Below are 24,291 nucleotides of genomic sequence, written 5' to 3'. Positions count from 1 at the left end.
GTGGCTTTTAAATTTTTCCATAGTCCAACCCGCATCAACCCCTCCAACCTCATCTTTCAGACATCCATCCTGTTCTCTCCTAAAATCTACTCCGCTGCTATCACTGCTATTTTCCCTATAATTCCTAGGCACACCAAAGGCTTTCACTTAATGTACTGAACCCAGAGTGCAAATTGCACCTAGTGCATCCATTTTCCCGTGGATAGAGCAGCTCCTTGCATGCAGGTGAAATGAAACAATCCACCTATTTAAAGTGTATAATTCAATGGTTCTGGCATATTCACAGGGTTGTGCAACCATCACCACAATCTAATTTTAGAACATTTTCTTCTCCTATAAAAGAAACCCTGTATCCGTTCACTCCTCCTCTCCCCATCCCTTAGCAATCATTATTCTACTTCCTCTCTATATAAAGCTGCCTATTCTGGACATTTCCTATCAATGGGATGATACATTAATGTGGTCTTTTGTGTCTGGCTTCTTTCACTTAATGTGTTCAAAGTTCAATCCAAAATGTAATATGTGCTGACACTTCATTTCTTTTTATTAGTTGATGGACATTTGGGTTGTTTCCATTTTTTCAGCTAATACAAATTATGCCGGTATGAACACTTGCCTGCACATTTTTGTGTGGATGTATGTTTCGATTTCTCTTGGCACTCCTAAGAGTGCAACTGCTGGGGCATATGGTAACTCTGTAAGTATTTAACTTTTGAAGAATTGACACACTGTTTTCCAAAGCTGTGGCCTTGGAACCACAAACCAAAAAAAAAGAAATCCCCCAAAACTCTAAACAGCTGAATCAGCAGACATAGTGTAAAATTCAACTTCGGGAAGTGTATGTATTTTATATGTGTTTCACATAACAGTAACCACGTAACTTTACTAAGTTAACGTGAGCATCCCCAAAGACGTTTTTCTTCTTATTATTATTATTCTTTTTTTTTTTTGTTCTGTCACCCAGGCTGGAGTGCAGTGATGCAATCTCAACTCACTGCTACCTCTGCCTCCTGGGTTCAAGCAATTCTCCTGCCTCAGCCTCCCAAGTAGCTGGGATTACAAGCGCCCGCACCACACCTGGCTAACTTTTTTGTATTTTAGTAGAGACAGGGCTTCACCATGTTGGCCAGGCTGGTCTCAAACTCCTGACCTTGTGATCCGCCCGCCTCGGCCTCCCAAAGTGCTGGGATTACAGGCGTGAGCCACTGTGCCCAGGCCTGACTTTTTCCTTCTTAATGATACACTCACAGTACTTTACTCCATGGCCCATATTTATATTTAAATTAGCCGAGCAATATCATATACTGTTTTTCCTGGCATCCCTCTCATTTGCCTCTTGGCAAAAAATCAGAACTACCCAACTCCATTCAGCATCCTGTCTCATCCATTTCCTGAACAGCCAGAATAGAGTCCTGCAGCAGAGACAGCCTCTGAGCAGAGACAGCCATCAAAAATGAAATTGTTCCCTCATTGCTTCATCATGTGTTGTCAAACTGTGGAGAGCCATTCAAAGCCCTCCCAATTTCTCCACATCCTCATCAATACCTGTTATTGTCTCTCTTTTGGATTATAGCCATGCTAATGGATGTGAGGTGGTATCTCACTCTGTTTTTAATTTTTAATTTTGGTGGGTACATAGGTGTATATATGTACGGGATACAGGCGTGCAATGCATAATTGCATCATGGAGAATGAGGTATCCGTCCCCTCCAGCATTTATCCTATGTGTTACAAACAATCCAATTATATTCTTTGAGTTATTTTAAAATGTACAATTAAATTATTATTGACTATAGTCATGCTGTTGTGCTAGCAAATACTAGGTCTTATTCATTCTTTCTGGTTTTTTTGGACCCATTAACTACCCCACATCTCCCCCACCCCAGCTACCATTCCCAGCCTCGGTAACCATCCTTCTACTCTCTACCTCCATGAGTTCAATTGTTTTTATTTTTATTTTTTATTTATTTATTTTTTTCGAGACAGAGTCTCACTCTGTCGTCCAGGCTGGAGTGCAGTGGCACGATCTCAGCTCCTTGTCCCATCAGATTCCTGAGCAGCCAGAATAAAGTCCTGCAATCCTGCAACCTCTGCCTCCTGGGTTCAAGCAATTCTCCTGCCTCAGCCTCCCAAGTAGCTGGGACTACAGGCATCCACCACCACGCCCGGCTAATTTTCATATTTTTAGTAGACATGGGCTTTTGTCATGTTGGCCAGGCTGGTCTTGAATTCCTGACCTCAAGTGATTCACCTGCCTCAGCCTCCCAAAGTGCTGGTATTACAGGCGTGAGCCACTGCACTGGGCCTGTTTCTATTTTTAGATCCCATAAATAAGTGAGAACATGCCATGTTTGTCATTCTGTGCCTGGATTTTTTTACTTATAATGACCTCCAGTTCCATCCATGTGGCAAATGACAAGATAACATTCTTTTTCATGGCTGAATAGTACTCCATTGTGGATAAGTACCATATTTTCTTTACCCATTCACCTGTTGATGGAATTTGGGTTGTTTCCAAATCTTGTGAACAGTGCTGCAACAAACACAGAAGCGCAGATATCTTTTTGATATACTGATTTCCTTCCTTTTGGGTATACACCCAGCAGTGGGATTGCTAGATCATATGGTAGATCTATTTATCGTTTTTCAAGGAAATCTCAAATTGTTCTCCATAGTGGTTGTACTCATTGTGGTATTGATTGGTATTTCCTTTATGACTAGTGACGTTGAGCATTTTTTTCCTGTGCTTATTGGCCAGTATCTGCCAGGGGCAACTGTCCCTTGAGGCCTTTTTCAGGAGGGCTAGAGTCTGTGCTATAGCCCAGAGGAACACTAGTGGTCTCCATGGCCAGGTCAGTAGGATATCTGAGAATTCTAGGTCCAGAGGGGACAAACACCAAATCTGGCAAGTCCACGTCATCAGAGAAAGGCAAGCAGGAGATGAATGAGTGGATGGAGGAGGAAGGCCAGTGCTTCTAGTCGAGGAGCAGGGACCTGGCAGGAAAGCCCTGTCCCACCCTCACTGTCACTGTGTATGCAGGCTGTCCTCATGTCTCCCAGCTCAGAGCAAATATCTCATAGGATGGGCTCATCCACAGTCCATGCCCAGCACACCACTCCAATTTCATCTCCATCTTCTTCTCATTAAACCTTGCCTTACAGTGAAAGGAGTTTTTCTCCTCCTGTAAACACACCATTGCCATTACCTCTGTGCCATTTCTCCACTCAGATAAGTCCTACCCACTACACAAAGCCAACTCAAGACCTACAGCTCCATTCTGGCAGCATCAGAATCACGACTTTGACAGTTCATGACCTGCTTTATGACTTGTTTATCTCTTTATAGACATTTTTTAATCTCTTCAGCCACATTACAGGAGCAATATTTATACCTCAACTCTCTTAGTACTGGCACAGCACCACCACTGGCACTTAAAATGAAATATATGCTAGCTAGTATTAATGCATAATAAGAATAATGTAAAATATTTAAATGAAGATAGTATATCTTAATTAAAAAGAATAGTAGGAGTTATACTCAGAAACAGAAATTCAAATACTGCATGTTCTCACTTATAAGTGGAAGCTAAACAATGAGTATACATGGCTATACAGAGTGGAAAAATAGACATTGGAGGCTACAAAATATGGAGGGTTGAAAAATTACCGATTGGGTACAATGTTCACTATTTAGGTGACCTGTTCACTGAAAGTCCAGACTGCACCAGGATGAAATATATGCATGTAAGAAATCTACACTTGTACCCCCTAAATATATAAAAATTAAAAAAAGAATAGTAGGAGCTATAAATATGGAGCAACTACTACAGGTCAGACACCTACAGTATCTCATTTAATTCTCAAAACAATTCTATGAGATAGTGACATGATTCCAATTTTATAGGTTACAAAAATCAGGCCTAGAGAAATTAGATAGTTAGATAACTACATTGTCTTCTGAAAACATGAATTGTGATTATTAAGAGGTGGAAATTGGTGGCTTCCTTGGTAATATGTTTGTGATGGTGTCTCCATGTCCACATCTAATATAATGTGCATGCCCGTCTTTCACATCACACAGTGAGTTCAGGCATGGCATCTTGTATTTTCATTCAAGTGTGTGACATGCACCATGTACTTGTAAATATACTTAGCTGCTGGATGACCTTGGGCAAGTCATTTAGACCTTCTCTCAGCTTAGTTTCCTCGTCTGTACAACGAAAATAATTCCTACCTTAGATAATCGTGCAAGACTGGAACACCTTTTTAAGGTTTTATTTGTTTTTAGGAAAGGAATAAACACACTTTTTTTTGTCTAAGAATATGTTTGATATAATCAACAAAACCTTAAAAATTGCTGATTATTTAAAAAATGTCTGTCATTGAAATGGATCATTGGTAAATTTGATGTCTCATAAGTCTTCATCTATGCCACCATATACGGCACAAAGGGCTTTTATTTATTTGTACATTTACATGTTCTAACCATCCTTAAAACCAGATAAATGCCTTGTTTTGAAAGGAAGTGTTGATAATTGATATCTAATATCCTGACTTCATTCAAAGGTTTTAAGCCAAGTGATTGTTATTTCTACTCTTATATAGGAAGTCTCCATGTCTACTGATTTTGAGGATTGACTGAAGATTGCCTTCATTCCTGGACAATCCTGTCTTCATGCATATAATCTTAAAACATTGGAACTAGGAAAGTAAGCTCAGTTTAACTTAATCCAAGCATTTCATTTTATAATTGAGAAAACTTAGAGGCAGGGAAGATAAATGACTTTCTTATAGTGTTTATTAGTTATTTATTCCACATCTCCTGAAAAAGGGTTTAAGGTAATTTACAGATACAAGATAAGAGAAGAAAAATAGAATAGGATCTCAATAGTGGCTGAATTTGGCCACAGATGTGATTCTGGACGTCCAAATGGCAAAAGCAGAACGCATCATTTACAAAATCCAAGGTGCCTCTGAGTTACCTCAGATCTTAAGTAAAGCACAGAGTTCCTCCTGAGGACTGAGAGAAATGCTTCAATCCACTATTAATACATTCTTAATTAGGAAGCAACGCTAGGCTGGGCGCAGTGGCTCAGGCCTGTAATCTCAGTACTTCGGGAAGCTGAGGCGAGAGGATTACCCGAGCCCAGGAATTTGAGACCAGCCTGGGCAACATAGTGAGAACCCACCTCTATCAAAAACTAAAGTAAAACGAAGGCAACTCTAATGTGACTCCCAACCTGGTTTCTTTCCTTAATGTCTTCCATGTCACCTTAATTTCATATGATAAAGATTTAAATAATCTTTATTTTATTTTAAATAAATAAAACACCCCTTTCATTTCTTATAATTGCTCTTTCCTTAGAATTAATTACTGTCTCTCAACGTCCTGTGTATTTTGCCAATCTATAATAGTTAACACTTTTCACACACCTGCATCTCATTGCTTGAAACAGAATCTGAGTTCTAGGCCAGGCACGGTGGCTCACGCCTATAATCCCAACACTTTGGGAGGACGAGGCGGGTGGATCTCCTGAGGTCAGGAGTTCGAGACCAGCCTGACCAATATAGTGATACCTTGTCTCTACTAAAAATACAAAAATTAACCAGCTGTGGTGGCACATGCCTGTAGTCCCAGCTACTTGGGAGGCTGAGGCATGAGAATCGCTTGAACCCAGGAGGCAGAGGTTGCAGTGAGCTTAGATTGAGCCATTGTACTCCAGCCTGGGAGACAAAGTGAGACTCAGTACTCAGTGTCAAAAAAAAAAAAAAAAGAATCTGAGTTCCAGGAGGGCAGGGGTCAGGGAACAACTTTACATTTACTAGTTTTCCACAGCCATAGTGGAGTGTTCCACAAAGAGTAATTGTCCAAAACTGCTTAACAAAGAGAAGGAGAAGAATAAAGAAAAGAATAAAAATATTAGTGTATACTCTTATCATCTACCTATGGACTATTTGACTAAAACACAGTGGCTGTGAAATTGTGTTTAATCTACAATGTTTCATGCCCTTAGAGGCATGTGGATAACAAAGGCTTATTTCAAATGTCAAAATACAAGGAGATAATACTTGAGTTCTTTTCAAAATGTCAAAATACAAGGAGATAATACTTGAGTTGTTTTCAATGGTAACTTCTAGGGGGGATTTAATTTTGTTTTGTTCTAAATGTTTGAAACAAGATATTTGATTTTTGAGCGCATGCTACATGCCAGGCATTATTCTAAGTGCTTTGCATGTACAGACGCATTTAATGGCTGAGTATTTATAAGCCTTCCAATAAATATAATGCCAATTCCAATGCCCGTGTTTGATCCACTGCAAAACTGCCCAGCGTTTAACACAACCCCCTTTGCCCTCTTATACCCTTCTCTGAGATGCTGTAAACCATTCTCCATAATTTTACTTTCCATACTACCATTTCTGACAGGATGTTGCTGATACTCAAGCACTTTTTTTTTTAAGACAGGGTCTTGCTCTGTCACCCAGGTTGGAGTATAGTGGCACGATCATGGCTCTCTGCAGCTCGACTTCCTGGGCTCAATTAATCCTCCTGCTTCAGCCTCCCAAGTAGCTGAGACCACAGGAGAATGCCACCATGTCTGGCTTTTTCATTTTTTTGTAGAGACAGGGTCTCATTGTATTGCCCAAGCTGGTCTCCAACTCATGGGATCAAGGGATCCTCCTGCCTCAGCCTCCCAAAGAGTTGCGTTTACAGGCATAAACCACAGTGCCTGGACTTCAAGCACCTTTGAGTGGGTTCTGATGAGAAAATTTGACAACTATATTGGAGAATATGGAATCACATTGGCAGTAATGATTTGATACCTGGAACACTTTTAGTCAATCAAGATGATATCCCCTTGAAACAAATGCCAATACTTCTATTCAACTGGAATTTAGAAAGAAACTAAAGGCTCACACAGACACACACACAAAACAAAACAACAGTTCCTGCTTCATAGGGATGAGGTAGTTAGTGCTTGTAATGTACTCATTATAATGCCTGGTGCATATGAAGTGCTTAATATCAGCTATTATTTCTATCATCCTCATCATCATCATCATTTTTATTATTGTGTTTTCCCTCTAAAACCAGCAGTGGAAAAAAAAAGTGTCAGTCATTTATTCTCTCTCTCTTTCACACACACACAGATATACACACACAAACATAAACACACACCCAAGTCCACAAGGGGATGGTTACTTCTGTCTGTTGCATCTTCATGCACCTGGAGACTGAGTTAAACTGCCATTTTTCTTTGTAGGTCAGGCACGCTTTTAAAAGACTAAGCCACTGGAAGGACATCTGTAAGTATAGTTTCTAGAACAGGGATCCGTAACCATTCTTAACAAGGAAAGAACTGCACTGGAATCTCCTTGAGTCTTTTTTGAGTCATATCCTACGCATCTCCAACCCATTTTCCAAATCTTAGCACTACTGCCCTCCCCTGAAAGACAGGCGTATTTTTGGAGCTGAGAACCGCCACAAAGAGAGTGGCTGTCGATGAGAGTGTTATGCTTGTGAACTAGCAGGTGGAAGCAAAAAAAAGAAAACAGAAGAGTTGACCACCATGGTTGCCTAGGGCAACAGATCACATTTTGCCGGATGTGGGTTGAGGGCATCCTGCTTCGCCATTTGTTTCCAGTTCTTTTTCAGTCCTTCTTACTTTTAGGCAGAATCCATAATATATAAGGTGGTGGGGAGTTGGGGGAGAAAGAGGATAAAAAGGAAAGCAAGCAAATGACTATCTGAGGTTGTTTTGTTACTAGAGGGCAAATAATGCATTCTGGGTGTAGGTTTAAAGATGAATTAAAATCAGATTGTAGGGACAGGCCCCAAAGTAATTGCAAATGCTGTTTACTTCCTTTACCCTAAAAAATTCTGAATACTTTAGAATTCACCTAATATCCTCCTTTCAGTTGCATAGTCAACACATAGTATAGGATGCAATATTTGTGAATTTATCTCAATCTGCACTGCCCAATTCAGCCACTAGCCACATGAGGCCATTTAGCACTTTAACTGTGGCTAGTCTGAAATGAGATGTGCAGTAAGTGTGAAAACACACTGGATTTGCAAGACTTAGTATTAAAAAATGGAATAAAATAGCTCATTAATAATTTTACTATTACTGGCAGGATGCCTATAATCCCAGTGCTTTGGGAGGCTGAAGTGGGAAGATCACTTGAGGCCAGAAATGTGAGACCAGCCTGGGCAACATGGTGAGACCCTCATCTCTACAAAAATTAAAAAAATGAAATAATCTTACTATTACTTAAATGTAACATAATTTCAATTATATCAAAATTAATATATTATTTTTAAAATTTTTAGTAAAAATTTATGTCACTTGATTTTTACTGTTAAATATAATTTCAAACATTAAATTTAATATAACTTCAAACAATTCACATTTTAATAGTTTATTTTATTAAATGAAATATCCAAAAATAATCATTTGATCCAGAGTGCTATTATCATTTTTGGATATATCATTTAATAAAATAAGTGATTAAAATTAACATCACAGTTGGGCACAGTGGCTTACACCTATAATCCCGGCACTTTGGGAGGCCGAGGTGGAAGGATTGCTTGAGCCCAAGAGTTCAAGACCAGCCAGGGCAATATAGTGCCTCGTTTCTCAAAAAAATAAAAAAATGGGATGGGAGTGGCTGTGATCATGCCACTGCACTCTTGCTTGGGTGACAGAGTGAGGCCCTCCCTCAAAAAAAAGAAAAGTCATGGTTCTTTTTACTGTTTCTAATGTGGCACCAAGGAAATTTAAAGTTAAACATGTAATTTGCTTTGTAGTTCTACTGGACAGCTCTGCTCCAGAGTGCTACAGTTCTGTTATTGCAAGCGCCTCAGTATTTGACTCAAATATGTTGGGTTGCAGGGACCACATCACATTAATGTAATCTGAATATTACTCATTCTATGTTACATTAGATTCTCCCCATTTCCTTTCCCACTGCATTTTATGCTTCAGCACTGCTAAAGTGTTTTACACATCTGGTGCCTGGCGTATCTTTCTTCCATTTGGCCACAAGGTATAGAAAGGCATTTCTTTTTTTTTTTTTTTTTTTTTTGAGACGGAGTCTCACTCTGTCACCCAGGCTGGAGTGCAGTGGCGCGATCTCGGCTCACTGCAAACTCCGCTTCCTGGGTTCATGCCACTCTCCTGCCTCAGCCTCCCGAGTAGCTGGGACTACAGGCACCCACCACCATGCCTGGCTAATTTTTTGTACTTTTTTAGTAGAGATGGGGTTTCACTGTATTAGCCAGGATGGTCTCGATCTCCTGACCTCGTGATCTGCCCTCCTCAGCCTCCCAAAGTGCTGGGATTACAGGCATGAGCCACCACACCCCTCCTAGAAAGGCATTTCTATACCTTTCTCCTTCAAAGCACCTCTTGATCATCCCCCCATAATATCTGTCCTATAATCATTATCTGCACCATATTATTTCTGTATCAAACATTGCACATTCTGCACTGTAATGTATTTTTTTTACATGCCTGTCTTTCCCACTAGACTGGAAGCTTCTTGAGGGTAGGGACCATATCTATCTATTTCTATCTATCTCTCTCTCTATCTATCTATCTATCTACAGGTTTTGCTCTGTCACCCAAGCTGGAGTGCAGTGGCGTGATCATAGTTCACTGCAGCCTCAAGCAGTCCTCCTATCTCAGCCTCCCACGTAGCTGGGACTATAGGTGTGACCCACCATGCTGGGCAGGGGACCATATCTTATCCTATTTTAGCTACACGTGCCCCCTACACTGGCATGGGGTTGGCCATCAATAGACGTGTGGTGAAACTGGAAAAAAAGTTCCAATTATATTACATTGAGCAGAGTCTGATTCAGCTGAAGTGTGTGTTTCAGTACTGTAGCCCAATCTGTAAACCCAGCCTTGAGGAACAGTGAGTACTGTTCATTTTAGCTTGGGCATTCTGCAGTGGTCTCACGGCCGGCCATCTTTTCACCACACTGCATAGCACTTACCGACATTCATGGCCCAAGCAGCTTCATTTCTGTGTGTTGCTTACAACAAGGGAAATATAATGCCACAGAATGAGTAAACACATGAAGAAATAGTCTTGGTTTGCTAAGCCATACCGTTTATGAAATTTAATCAGAAGGAAGCCATTATCTTAAAAGGAAAACAATACTGTATCCAAAACCTAATGAGTTCATTGCCCTAACTGTCACCTGTGAATGTTATGTGATCAACAGAGATGCATGAATTTGTTAATGCTATAAAAACAGTGGCCATAGGTAAATTTACTTAATCAGTAACCTAATTGTGATAATACACTATAATATGATGTGAAATCACCTGAAAAAGATTTTGTGGGATTCCCCGCTTCTGCCCCACATAACTAATTTGTTCTTTTCTTTCTGAGGTGAAATCCTACAAACACACTTGAAAGACTGAACTTCTGCCCCGTGGAAAACACAGTTCTACTAGGTGGTAATGAATACCTTTTAGCAGCATTCTACTGAATATTACTATTTCGTTATTACCCTGGCTTGATAGCAGTTAATAACTAAGACAAATGAAATGTCACTTATCTCGATCACTGTTAGTAATTACTTCTTAACCACTTTCAGCTCTCCAAATATCTTAACAGTGTTGTCCAGCATTCTTCAACAGCTCCTAGAGAATTTTTAGCCCTGCTCTAACACTTGAATCCATTTGAAATCCAGTTGTGTAAGGGGCAAACATTCCTATCTTCCAAATCTGGTTTGGATTTTGAAATTCTAAACATTTGAAACCTCCGGGCACAAAAAACTTCTTTGTGGGAAAGGTCTCTGTCCTAACTTCCGCAGAATCTTGTTTTTAAACTGCACAGTCTTGGAAGCCTTGTATTGCATAAAGTCTACATCATGGGTTAAGAATTTACGTGGCCAGGCATAGTGGCCTATGCCTGTAATCCCAGCCCAGCCCTTTAGGAGGCCGAAGCGGGAGGATACTTGAGCCCAGGAGTTTGAGACCAGCCTGGGCAACACAGCAAGACCCTATCTCTATTAAGAACAATTAAAAAAAGAATTTATGGATGGGGCTTTTAAGTATTCATTTCTTGCTTTCCACTTCTCAAAAATAATTTCCATTGTTTTGATTATTATGGAGGTAGAAAATTGCTGATTAGCTAACTATATTCTTATTTTAGCTACCTAATAAAGATTTTGGATCAACTCCTTCTCAAAGTTTTGAAAGTTTAATTAAAGGTTTTAGGATTGCAAAGACTTTGTTTTATGTCCCCTTTTCTTTCTTTCTTTCTTTCTTTCTTTCTTTCTTTCTTTCTTTCTTTCTTTCTTTCTTTCTTTCTTTTCTTTCTTTCTTTCTTTTCCTCTTTTTTTTTTTTGACAGAATCTCACTCTGTCACCAGGCTGGAGTGCAGTGGCATGATCTTGGCTCACTGAAATCTCCACCTCCTGGGTTCAAGCGATTCTCCTGCCTCAGCCTCCCGAATAGCTGGGACTACAGGCGTGCACCACCATGCCCAGCTAATTTTTGTATTTTTAGCAGAGACAGGGTTTCACCATGTTGGCCAGGATGGTCTTGATCTCTTGACCTCATGATCCACCCATCTCAGCCTCCCAAAGTGTTTGGGATTACAGGCGTGAGCCACCACGCAGCCTATGTCCCATTTCTTAAACTGTGTAGCCTTGGGCAAATTTCCTAAACTCCCTTACCTGTCATTTCTAATTTGCAAAATAGGAGCAATAACAGTATCTTCCCAAATGGTTACCCTGCTTTTAGCCTTATATATAATAAGCACATCAGTATTCCCAAATGATACTTCATATCTACATCCAAAATTGAACTTCTAATCATCTCCCTTCCAACTTGCTGACTTTAGTTGATGACAATTTCATCCTTCCAGTTGTTTAGGCCACAGACTTTGAAGTCATCCTTGACTCCTCTTTCTCAAACACCCCACATTCCTTCTGTCGGGAAATCTTGGCTCTCCTTCAAAATATACGCAGAATCCAACGCTTTGTCATGGGTTCCTTGCTTTCACCTCTGCTCCCCCAGGTTTATTCTCAAGCAGTCAGAGTGAGCCTTAAGTCAGATCATGTTATTCGCCTTCTCAGAATCCTGCAATGGCCCCTCCATTTTGCTCGGTGTGAAAGTCAAAGTTTTATAATGGCCTCTGGAACCCCACGTGATCTGCTATCTCCTCGCCCTTCTCATACTTCTCCAACCACATCTGTTTCTCTCTCCCTTGCTCATTTACCTCTAACTACAGGGGCCTTCTTGTTGCTTCTCAAATCCACAGACATGCCCCTGCCCTACAGCCTCGACTGTTCCCTGTGCTTGGAACACTGTTCCCCCAGATAGCCACTTGGTTAACTCCATTGTCTCCTGCAAACGAAAGGGCCCAGCCTGACCACCTTATCGCATATTGCAACTTCACCTTGCTTTTCGCTTACTAATACCTATATTATTTACTTATTTATTATGCTTATTGAGTAGCATCTGTATCTGTCCACCAGAATAAACTCCACAAATGCAGGGATCTTTGTCTCTTTTGTTCACTGACATTCCTTGCGTCTATAATAGTGCTTAGCAAACATTTTTGACTGAAAATGATTGAATTGTATTTAAACTGGAGATCTGGCCGGGCACAGTGGCTCATGTCTGTGATCCCAAGACTTTGAGAGCCCGAGGTGGAAGGATCACTTGAGCCCAGGAGGTCGAGACCAGCCTGGGCAACAAAATGAGACCCTGTCTCTACAAAATTTTTTTTTTAATTAGCTGGGCATGGTGACGCACACCTGTGATCCCAGCTACATGAGAGGCTGAGGCAGGAGGATTGCTTGAGCCCAGGAGGTTGAGGCTACAGTGAGCCTTAATTGTGCTGCTGCACTCCAGCCTGCACCCTGTCTCAAAAATGAATGAATGAATGAATAAATAAATAAAGTGGAGATGACTTCCTAAGTTACATATTCTTTTTTTCTTTTGCCTCCTTTATTTATTTTCCTCATATAAGTAATTTTTTTTTTTTGAGATGGAGTTTCGCTCTTGAAACTTTTTTTTTTGAGATAGAGTTGCCCAAGCTGGAGTGCAATGGCATGATTTTGGCTCACTGCAACCTCCACCTCCTGGGTTCAAGCGATTCTCCTGCCTCAGCCTCCCGAGTGGCTGGGATTACAGGCATGCACCACCATGCCAGGCTAATTTTTTTGTATTTTTAGTAAAGACAGTGTTTCACCATGTTGGTCAGGCTGGTCTTGAACTCCTGACCTCAAGTGATCCTCCTGCCTCAGCCTCCCAAAGTGCTGGGGTTACCAGTGTGAGCCACCACGCCCGGCCACATATTCTTTATTCCACTTAAAACTCATAGTTCTTTACTGATGATTCTTGGTCACTTTATCAATGTCTAAGATAGCACAATTTCCGTGGTACTTACTATTAACTATTTCTAATACATGTTGTTTTTATGCTATTCAATTAAAGTAAGCTGTCTTTACTGAACAGCACAAGCTGCTTGTGACCACCCAGAGTCGGTGGAGAACCTGACTCCAGTCTGCCATGCCAGTGTTCTTTGATCCCCAGTTTGACACCATCCTTTACAAATGTATGTACATGCTTCCTAAAAGCTTTTTAAAAATTAGCACATTCAGAATAATGATTACCTCTAGCTGGGAAATGGGGAAATGTTATTGGAAGGAGACCAGGAAATGTCTTGGTAAATATTCTACTTCTTAAGCTGGGTGATAGGTACCCAGATGTTGGCTTTATTATTATTTGTTGTTATTTACATATATACATCATCTTTTGTAGATATGAAACATTTCATAATAAAACATGAAGGAAGAAATGAATCTAGTCATGATTCACTTGCTCTAATATCATTTTTTGTTTCTCTCCAGTTTGATGTGATGTAGCTCTCTGGATGCAAACCCTCCAGTCGGTTTGGGGAAACACAGTTGCTGTGTGATTTAGCTTTTATCCCCCATCCCAGCCCACAACCATCTCACTGATGAGTCTGTAACATGAAACTAAATCAAAAAGATCCCCAACAGAATTAGAAAAAATATTAAACTCACTGCTTGCTTGTTGATTTAATCAACCTAGCCGGCTGTCATGTGGGATTAGAATAAAATAAACACAAAAATGAAAACACACGATTGCTAACAAAGCAGATTCTTTTTTCAAGGCACACGTAAAGATAATAACTTCAAAGTTGATTATATTAACTTGTCTTCCCATGATAACACGATAAGTTCTTTGCTTGGTTTCCTTCTATTCAACCTTCTCCCGTGACCCTGGTTGGGGAGACCAGGGACCCTGATATGTAGTCCCACAGCACTCAACTCTGGTTCCGCATGGAATTCTACATCTCCTCTTACATCTAGTTACATCTCCTCTTCTAGACTATAAACTCATTGTGGAAAGGCCCCAGGTTTTTTCATGGGTGCCACCATCAGATGGCCCAGTTCAAACAACAGCTCTGTTTCTTACTTCCTGCGTAAGTTTCTTACCCTCTCTGTGCTTTCATCTTGATGTGATGATTAACAAGATGACACATCTAAATTAGTACAGGGCCTGGTAGTATTTATAAGTAAACATTATAATAATTATTATTTGCTATTACTATGTGATGATCAAAGAGAAAACTGAGTTGACAGAGAAGAAAGAAAATAGCTCTTATGATTCTTAATTATTCAAGTTCATGGTCAACGCTCAGGAAATGTTTTAAAACTGAGTCACGGAATCAAGCTCCAGAATATGTGGAATAATGAGAACGTGTGATGCCTTGGAGTGGTGTCACCTCTCTGCTTGCTCATGCCTGAGGTTTGGGACCAGTGGAGCCAACGGGATCTCAGGGGCTTGTGATATTTCCATGGTACCACTCAGTGAGATTAATATATTCTGCACATTTAGCCAGCCTCTTTGGAGTCCTCATTTTGGGATCACAAATTGGCTAGGAAATGATGATGCAGTGGTGGCAGGTCACATCCTCTAGTCCCCCAAAAGCTGTCCTCAGGGTCTGCCCTTCCAAGCTGCAGGTACAATCTAGTCTCTTTAACTGGGTATAGGTGTAATGGCATTCCTTCATGCGGCTAGTTCTCTCTTTTCAAGAGAAATCTAATGATTACTGTTCCAGATATCTAGCAGTTTTCTCTAAAAGTCATGTTTCTCACGATAATTAAAAGTGTAATATGTATTTTAAAATCCCCATGCAACCAGTGTAGAAATCTTACACTTTAAAATCTGGCATTTATTATGTACATGAATTTATAATAAATGCTTAAGCTTTAAGTGACTTGCCTCTTAGATGACAGCAGTGACATAAAACACACACATTCATTTTCATACTGAGAAGATACCTGTTGTGTTAATAAAAATTGTTCTGTTTTGAGGCAAGCATTCCTAAGATCACCGTAGTCTCCATAATATAAACTCATGGGGTCCTATAAAATTGTAAAGATTGTGGTCCAATAGGCTATGGAACGCAGACAATTTATTATAAGATTTGTGGACTCACTAAAATGTTTTAGGCATAAAAATAATTAAAATAAAATTGAAGAGAATTAGAAGAAAATGAAAATAATAATGCTCTTTGGAAGTAAGATGGCTTAAAGAAAATTCAAAGTGACATATCAAACAGACATTTATGGCAATGAACTTTATAAGTAGCTCATTCTAATAATAATATGGAACTATTTAAAACTTTGATTGATGAGTGAAAAAAGGCAAATCAATAGTGGATAACTGGTGAACATTCTTAGGATATAAAAATACAAAAAATGTAATAAATACTATAAAACCTAGTATTGTGTTTAAGATTTAAAGTAATGCCATAAAGTAATTCATATTACAAAGTTATATTTCTTGAGAAATAGCAATTTAAAGATTTCAAAATATAATATTGACCTGTTCAAGTTTGGGCTGTTTCTTATCTCAGTTTTCAAATAAGATGGAAATTTGCCTTTTTACATATAGGCCAGATATTGACTGCGCTTTTACAGGAACTTCTCAGAAACAAAAGACCTCAAAGATATTGATATTTCAGAATGTAATCTGTTATGGTTATGATTATTTTCTCCATTTTTAAAAAATTTGTGATCAGCAATTCTAATGTTGATATAATGTTGCCAGTATTCCAGTTGGGACCAATTCAAAGAATTATAGCAACTCCTCAATTGCTATTTTAAGAACAGACATAATGTAGCCCAATCATCTCACTTTACTGACGTTATCTGAAGTCCAGGGAGAAGTTATGCAAGTTAATCAATATCATCCTTATCTAGATGGGGGAGATATAAGAGCCAGAACCCAGGTCTCCCAAGTGCTGAGAAAAAACCCAAATATTAGTAATTATTAATAGTTTAAGGATTAATAGTTTAAGGACACACATTATTAATAGTTTAAGGATGAAGTTAAATTTCTTAGACCTTTCACAACACACGTTGAGCAGACAGGAAATACCACTAGAAGACTTTATAAAGTATTTCTCAGCAGATCCTTGCTAATTTCGCCAGCCAGCATCATCGTCCTGGCCCATGTGCCACCCATTATTCCAGTGAGGCCAGAGGGAAAATCGCTGCTCTAGGTTTATGAAAAAGGACAAAGTTTTCCTTTCTGAAATTTCTCTCTGGAGACCCAGATTTTAAAATGAATAGTAGCTAGTACCGGCACCTTTGTTTAAACCACGTTATGCCACCAGAAAAAAACATCTGGGGGCATAATAAACTCACGGGCCCTTTTCTTTTGTTACTTTCCTCTAGTACTCCGTCTCGTCAAGGATCACATTAAAAGTTCTTTTGAACCGCTATGCCCTGAGTGTCTAGGAAACACATTTCACGTTCCACAGGGGTATGAACTAAGAAATACCTTAGCAGGAAAGTAAGAGGTACACCGGGCTAGGTCTTTGGTGGAACACCTGCGCAGAGGTTCTTGGAGACATTAGGACACCCTAGTTAGTTTCCTCCATTCTGTAAAAGGCCCTCTGGATATTCATTTCAAGCCAAATTATGAAACTTGTGCCTGGTGTCCAAATCTATCTTTATGGTATTTTAAAATGAAAATGAGAATATTCGGGGGAAAAAGTTATTTTTAAAAAGAGGAAAGAGTTGTCCAAAAGTTTTAGAGGAAGGAAACACTCTAAGATGCATCAGACTGCGAGCCACACTCAAATTCTCACACGGCTGGCATTTAATCCACATCTAATCTTGGCCCCTCAAGAATCCCTCCAGGTTCCGGGAGACTGGGGCTCCCGGACCTGCTGACCTGCTGACCTGCTGACCTGCTGGACGTGCAAGGGTTCATAGCAGTTCCCCGTTTGACCTTGCAGCAATTTCCTGGGCAGGAAATCTGTCAAATCTGTTGCAATAGCTCGGGAAAAAGCAAACCCGAACCCCAAACCCTCACACCCCCACCCTCGCGAGCCGGGTCCAGAGTGGAGATCAGCGGAGGGGACCCTGGGGACCCGCTGCGCTCGAGGGCCACGCCTGGGGGCACGCGTTCACGAGGCCAGATCCTGGAGCTGCCCCCGGCGTCGGACCCGACGGGCTTGACAAACGGGTTCCTGACAGCCCCGAGGGGCCCGTGCTGGCGCTCCCAGGGCTCCCGGGACTGGGAGCGCCACTTACCTCGACTGCTCTGCGGGGCGCTGCGGGGCGCGGGAAGGCGGCGAGACTCCGGCCGGGAAAGCGACGCGCGGTGCAGACTGCCGCACCCGGGCTCCAGGTCGCTGCCCCGGGGAGGAAGTGCTGTCAGCCCTGCCCTTCCCACGCAGCGCGCAGACGTGTGGCGCTATCCGAGCTGCTTTGCTCCGAGGTGCAAGGAAGGCCCCTGGTTAGAGACAGTGGGACAGACAAACATATGCGTAAAGGACTCCGAGTTAGGGGCTGCTTTCTCCAACTCATCGAGTCTGCGCCTGATTTTCTCTCCCCCATCCCACCCCTACTACACAACCACCTTGAAGGGATTTTTATTTTATTTTATTTTATTTTATTTTAATTCTGGGAAACGTTGCGCCTCCCCCTACCTGTGCCGCGCGCGCCCTTCTCTCAGGAGCGTCTCCTGGCGAATGGAACCATTTTGCAGCCTCGACGCAAGAGGGACTAAGGGATTGGGGCCTAGTGATGGTTCCACCAAAGACTGAGAGGCCGCTTTATGTTGCAACGGTCTCCCAAAGTGTTTACTTCAGCACTTTCTGGGCTTCCTCTTTTGGGCCGGTTGTGCAAGGCTTCCCGGCCGCCTGCAGCCCGCCCTCAGGGGACGCGGTGCAGGGCTGGACTGGCAACACGCGCGTCCCGGCCGGAGTTCAGCTGTCTCTCGGGTGGGGGTGGAGGAAGGGCGCGCTGGGCGGAGGCCCTTTCTCAACCATCAGGTTGGTAACCTCACCCTCCTCCCTCCCCACGTTTAACCACGCTCAGTTGGCCGGCCAGGGTGTAGAGGAATAGCACTGTCTTCATTGCTCGTAGAAATCCAAAATGGTCTGAACCCCGTGGAAGAGAATTGAGCAATATCTATTTAACTTATGTATGGATTCGCCTTTTGACCCCGTCATCCCACTTCCAGGAGTGTGTTACGAAGATCTGCTGATGAAAATAAGTAATGCACACGGCAGAGGGCATTCATGGACTCACTATTTGCAACAGCATAGGACTGGCTGGAAATAGCACCTGTCAGTTGGGAGTGGAGTTTCCTGAGAGAAAGTCGCTGGGGAGGTCTGAAAATACAGAAGTTAAAATCAGTTATGATTTGTAAATGCGGTTGAATAACCCTCCCCTTCTCCTCTACAGCTGTGTCTTCAAAGGCTTATATGTCAGGGAAGGTGGTGAAGACATAAAGACAGAAATTAGGTGCATGTGTTAATTAGGCAATTTCAAATAGTTCTGTCATTTATTTAATGAGAAACTATTCGTAAGCACCAACACTTCTAAGAACAATGAAAATAGTTAGAGGAAACAATTTCTGCTCTCATGCATGGTGCATTCTAGTTGGTAGAAAGCAGACAATAAACAAATTAATATTTAACATGTCAAGGAATGTAACTAGTTTTGAAGGAAGTTAAAAGGTGAGGGATAGAGAGTGATGGGCATGGGGATGGGGTTGCTGTATTAATTAGGGTAAATAAACGATAAATAAATAGAAAATATATTTTCTCCTCATGATTTTCTTAATAACAGTTTCTTTTCTCTAGCTTTCTTTATTGTAAAAATACAGTATTTATCTAAATACATATAACATAATATGTGTTAATTGACTGTTTAATATTATCAGTAAGGCTTCTGGTCAACAGTAGGCTATTCGTGGTTAAGTTTTGGGGGAGTCAAAAGACATACATGGATTTTCAATTGTGCAGCAGTTTGGTACTCCTGAAATCTGGCATTGTTCTGTTACAGTAGGTAGCTAGTCAGGCATGAGCAGGGCAGGAGAGGGCTCCTCCCACCCCCTACCAGGAATGTCAGGTGACCATCAGGTGATGATCAAGCAGTTGTTATCAGCCTTACTGATAACATAGTCGATTAACTCATATTATTTTATATATATTAAATACTGTATTTTTATAATAAAGTAAGCCAGAGAAAAGAAACTGTTATTAATAAAATCATAAGGAAGAGAAAATGTATTTTTCATTTATTTATTTATTATTTATTTATCCTAATTTTTTTTAATATAGCACCAGGGAAAGGCAGTCTCCCAATAGACAGAAACACCTGAAACTGGTATTTCTGTCTGATAAGTGACACTTGAGCTAGATCTAAATGGCATGAGAGATTAATCCACACTGGGTTTTTAGATGGGAATATTCCAGGCAAAAGGAACAGCACATTCAAAGACCCTGAGTTAGGAGAGCACTTAAGATATTGGAAAAACACCAAGGAAATTAGTACGGCTGAGCAGAGTGAGATGGGAGGGACAGACATGAGATGGGATCAAAAGGAAATGGTGCCCAGATTGTGTGCTATTTGGGAGCTGTGGAAGAGAATTTGATGTGAGTGAGATGGAAAGCCAGTGGAAGGTTCTGAGCAGAGTTGTAAGTGCTACATAAAATATAAAATCAAACAATGAGAGTGACTTTCTTGGGGCAGGGAAAGTGGTCAAGGATCACCTCTTTACAAAGTAATGAGAAGGGGCAGCCATTCAGAAACTTGGGAAAGGATTCCAAGAGAAGGAAGAACAAGAAGAGGGGCTGAGATAGGAACATAGAAAGTTCAAAAGAAGGCAGGCCAGTGTGCCTGGAATGTTCTGAAAGAGTAGGGCAGCAATAGTGGATGGGGACAGAGAGGTAAGCAGGAACCAGAACAAGCAGGACCTTGTAGCCAGCATTGAGGACTTTAGGTTTTATTCTAATTGCAATGGGGGACTATTGGAATGTATTTAGCAACTGAGTGCATGATTTGACTTAAGCGATAAGCCATCCTGCCAGTTGGTGATTGTTCAGAAAATCAATTGATTGAAGCAAGAGAAGAGAGATTCCTCAGTAGACTATGGTCAGAGTCCAGATGAAAAATGATAGTAGCTTTATTAGTATTCTAACAGTAGATATGGTGAGAAGAGTTTGGAATCAAGATACAGTTTTCAAAATAAAACCAAAGCTTGGCACAGTTGCTCATGCCTGTAATATCAGTGCTTTAGGAGGCCAAGGTGGTAGGATCACTTGAGGCCATGAGTTCAAAACTAGCCTGGACAACATAGCAAGACCCTATCTCTACAAAAATGGGGGAAAAAATTAGCTGGGTATGGTGGCTTATGCCTATGGTTCCAGTTGCTTGGGAGACTGAGGCAGGAGGATTGCTTGAGCCCAGGAGTTCAAATCTGCAGTGAGCTATGATGATGCCACTGTACTCCAGCCTGGGCAACAGAGCAAGACTATTTAAACAAACAAACAAACAACCACCTAGCAAAGTAGAACCAATAGCATTTGCTGATGGGTGGGCTGGGAAATGGGATGGGAGTAAGGGAGTGGCAGAGGGATTAGAAACTGAATGGAAACCAGTATGATTGGAGTTATGGAAGGTCTGGTTAGAGGTAAGGTCAGTAGGGGCAAACCATGTAGGGTCATGTGGACTATGTCAAGAATTATTTTCTCATCCTAAGAGCAATGAGAATATATTAAATAATATTTTAAGCTGGCAAATGATGGGATTTATGCTTTAGGAAAATCACTCTGGCATAATTTGGGGAACGGATCAGATGAAGAAAAGAATAGATGCAGGAAGACTTCTGAGCTAAGTTGGGAAAGAAAATACAATTGGCCTTTGAACTGCCAGCAGCAGAATATATCTGAGACACGGCACCAAAATATGTTAGCTTTGGCAAAACCATATGGGTCTGTAGCGACCTAAATTCTTGCCTCCTCAGAAGAAAGAATTCAACTGAGGGGCATAAGGCAGAAGAAGAGACTAAGGCAAGCTTTAGAGCAGGAGCGAAAGTTTATTAGAAAACTGTAGGGCAGTAACAAAAGAAAGTAAATTATACTTGGAAGAGGGCCAAGCGGGTGACTTGAGAGAAGTGCGCTGTTTGACTTTTGACTTGGGGCTTTACGCATTGACATACTTCGGGGTCTTGTCTTCCTCCTCCTGATTCTTCCCATGGAGTGGGCTGTCCACATGAGCAGTGGCGTGCCAGCACTTGGGAGGTGAGCATGCGCAGTGTGTTTACTGAAGTTGTACGCGTGTTCACTTTAGGCATTCTTCCCTTACCAAATGTCCCTGGAAGGTCATTTGCCAGTTAAACTCCACCATTTTACCTCTTAGTGCACATGCTTGAGCCCACTCGCCCAACTCCTGAGATCTTATCTGGAAGCTGTTGATCACCAGTTTCAGGTGTTTCTATCTATTGGGAGACTGCCTTTCCCTGGTGCTGGCTGTGATCAATTATTATTTTAGAGACACGGTTAACAGTCCCCTGACCACCACCTGATAGTCGCCTGACATTCCTGGTAGGGGGTGAGGGGAGCCCTCTCCTGCCCTGCTCATGCCTGACTAGCTACCTACTGTAACAGAACAATGCCAGGTTTTAGGGGTACCAAAATGCTGCACAGTTGAAAATCCATGTATAACTTTTGACTCCCACAAAACTTGACTACTAATTGTCTACTGTTGCCCAGAAGACTTACTGATAACACAGTCGATTAACACATATTATGTTATATGTATTAAATACTGTATTTTTACAATAAAGTAAGCTAGAGAAACTGTTATTAACAAAATCATAAAAGAAAATATATTTTCTATGTATTTATTTTTTATTTATTTTCAGAGTCTCACTCTGTTCCTGGACTAGAGTGCAGTGGTGAGATCATAGCTCCTTGTAACCTCAAACTCCAGGGCTCAAGGGATCCTGCTGCTTCAGCCTCCTGAGCAGCTGGGACTATAGGCATGCACCATCATGTCCAGCTAATTTTATTTTAAATAATTTTTTGTAAGATGGGGTCTTGCTATGTTTCCCAGGCTTGTCTAAAATTCCTGGCCTCAAGCGATCTTCCTGCCCCAGCCTCCCAAAGTGCTGGGATTACAGGCATGAACCACTGTGACTGACCTCATATTTACTATTTATTAAGTGGAAGTGGATCATCATAAAGGTCTTCATCCTCATCTTCACGTTACTCAACTTGAGTAGGAGGAGGAAGAGGAGGGGTTGATCTTGCTGTCTCAGGGGCGGCAGAAGCAGCAGGAAAATCCAAGTATAAATGCACCCATGCAGTTCAAACCCATGTTGTTCAAGGGTCAACTGTATAATTGTTTTGACTAGGTCAGCAGCAGCGGAAATGCGAAGAAATGGGTGAAACTGAGAGACATTTAGAAGGTAGTTTGCCAGAGATTCAGAGGACTAGATATAGGCAGAGGGAGAAGAGCGGGGGAGGCAAGGATGACTCCAAAGAATCAGGTTTGTATGATGATGGCTGACCATCCCATCATCAAGATGGGGAACTCTGGAAGAGGAGTATTTGGGCAGGGGAAGATAGTGAGTTTTATTGTTTGCAAGTTGAATTTGACAAATCTTTAGGACATCCAAGGGGAGACTTCAAGTAGAGAATTGTATATAAGAATCCTTTGCCCAGAGAAGCGTGGTTCAGAGTTAGAGATATACATTTTGAGTAATCATCATATAGGTGGTGATTTATGAGATTGCGTAGAGAGACTATGGTGTGGGATGAAACAGAGGCCTCAGGCTAAGCCTTAAGGAACTCCACCATCCAAAGCAAAAGACACAGAGCCCACAAAGAACACAGAGGAAGAGCTTTAAAGGGGTGGATGGAAAACCAGGGGAAAGTTCTGTGGAAGCCACAGTGTGGGAGGATGTGGTCAGTGATATCCAGAGATGTTGCAAGGACAAGTCAGACAAGACTGCAAAGTGGCAATTGGCTTTAGCAATGTTAGTGACCTCAGAAACCAATTGTAATAGCATGTTGGGGCTGGAGGCCAAAGTGGGTTGAGGGGTGAATAGGGTGTGAAGAAATGAAGATGGTGAGCAAAGCAACACTTGTGAATAGTTTGCCTATTGTATTGATCTGTTCTCACACTGCTAATAAAGACATACCGGAGACTGGCTAATTTATAAAGAAAAGTTTAATTGACTCACAGTTCAGCATGGCAGGGGAGGCCTCACAATCATGGTGGAAGGGGAATGAGGAGAAAAGTCACGTCTTACATGGCAGCAAGCAAGAGAGCATGTGCAGAGGAACTCCCATTTATAAAACCATCAGATCTCATGACACTTATGCACTATCACAAGAACAGTATGGGAGAAATGGTTGCCATTATTCAGTTATCTCCACCTGGCCCTGCCCTTGACATGTGCAGATTATTACAATTCAATGTGAGATTTGGGTGGGGACACAGCCAAACCATATCACCTATAAAGAGGAGAAAGGGGACAGGGAGGCAGTGGTTGGGAGACATGAAATTGAGGAAGATTTTATTTATTTTATTTTATTTTATTTTATTTTATTTTATTTTTAGAGACAGGGTCTTGCTCTGTTGCCCAGGCTGGAGTGCAGTGGTGTGATCATAGCTCACTGCAGCCTCTAATTCCAGGGCTCAAGAGATCCTCACACCTCAGCATCCCAAAGTGCTGGGATTATAGGCCTGAGCCCCAGTGTACCCAGCCTTTTATGTATCTTTTTAACATTATTTTCAAACAGGAAGAATTGAGATGATAGTGAGGAGTTGACATTAACAAGAGAGTAGAAATAATTGATGGTGAAAAGTTTTCAAGATGGAGGAAGTGGGTTGAGTCCAAATGAAGGTAAATGAATGGGCTCCCAGATAAGAGAAAAGAGACCTCCTCCATTTTACTGGAAAGGCAGAAGGGT

General features: G+C 41.3%; 1 protein-coding gene across 2 annotated transcripts in view, besides 3 other annotated features; it reads right to left on the bottom strand.

Moving 5' to 3' along the window:
• APBB1IP (amyloid beta precursor protein binding family B member 1 interacting protein) overlaps nucleotides 1-18,124 on the bottom strand; it is a 129,463-nt gene extending 111,339 nt beyond the window's left edge. For both annotated transcript variants that reach the window (NM_019043.4, XM_011519514.3), the window contains exons 1-2: nucleotides 18,010-18,124; nucleotides 17,612-17,813 (exon numbers count right to left, since the gene is read on the bottom strand). The gene's annotated coding sequence lies outside the window, so the exon portion shown is untranslated. The remainder of the gene's footprint in view (nucleotides 1-17,611; nucleotides 17,814-18,009) is intronic.
• Nucleotides 17,791-17,870: an enhancer, noted in NCBI's record as "active region_3167". NCBI's record gives its function as "activates an Ori minimal core promoter by ATAC-STARR-seq in GM12878 lymphoblastoid cells {active_cell/tissue: GM12878}" and the evidence as "EXISTENCE:reporter gene assay evidence [ECO:0000049][PMID:35858748]".
• Nucleotides 18,278-18,807: an enhancer, noted in NCBI's record as "H3K4me1 hESC enhancer chr10:26726587-26727116 (GRCh37/hg19 assembly coordinates)". NCBI's record gives its function as "activates a minimal SCP1, AML or CMV promoter by ChIP-STARR-seq in primed H9 embryonic stem cells {active_cell/tissue: H9 hESC(primed)}" and the evidence as "EXISTENCE:reporter gene assay evidence [ECO:0000049][PMID:30033119]".
• Nucleotides 18,431-18,560: an enhancer, noted in NCBI's record as "active region_3166". NCBI's record gives its function as "activates an Ori minimal core promoter by ATAC-STARR-seq in GM12878 lymphoblastoid cells {active_cell/tissue: GM12878}" and the evidence as "EXISTENCE:reporter gene assay evidence [ECO:0000049][PMID:35858748]".

The sequence above is a fragment of the Homo sapiens genome, chromosome 10 (assembly GCF_000001405.40).
Source record: "Homo sapiens chromosome 10, GRCh38.p14 Primary Assembly".
NCBI classification, from domain to species: Eukaryota; Metazoa; Chordata; class Mammalia; order Primates; family Hominidae; genus Homo; species Homo sapiens.
This window is presented reverse-complemented; position numbering and strand designations above follow the sequence as displayed.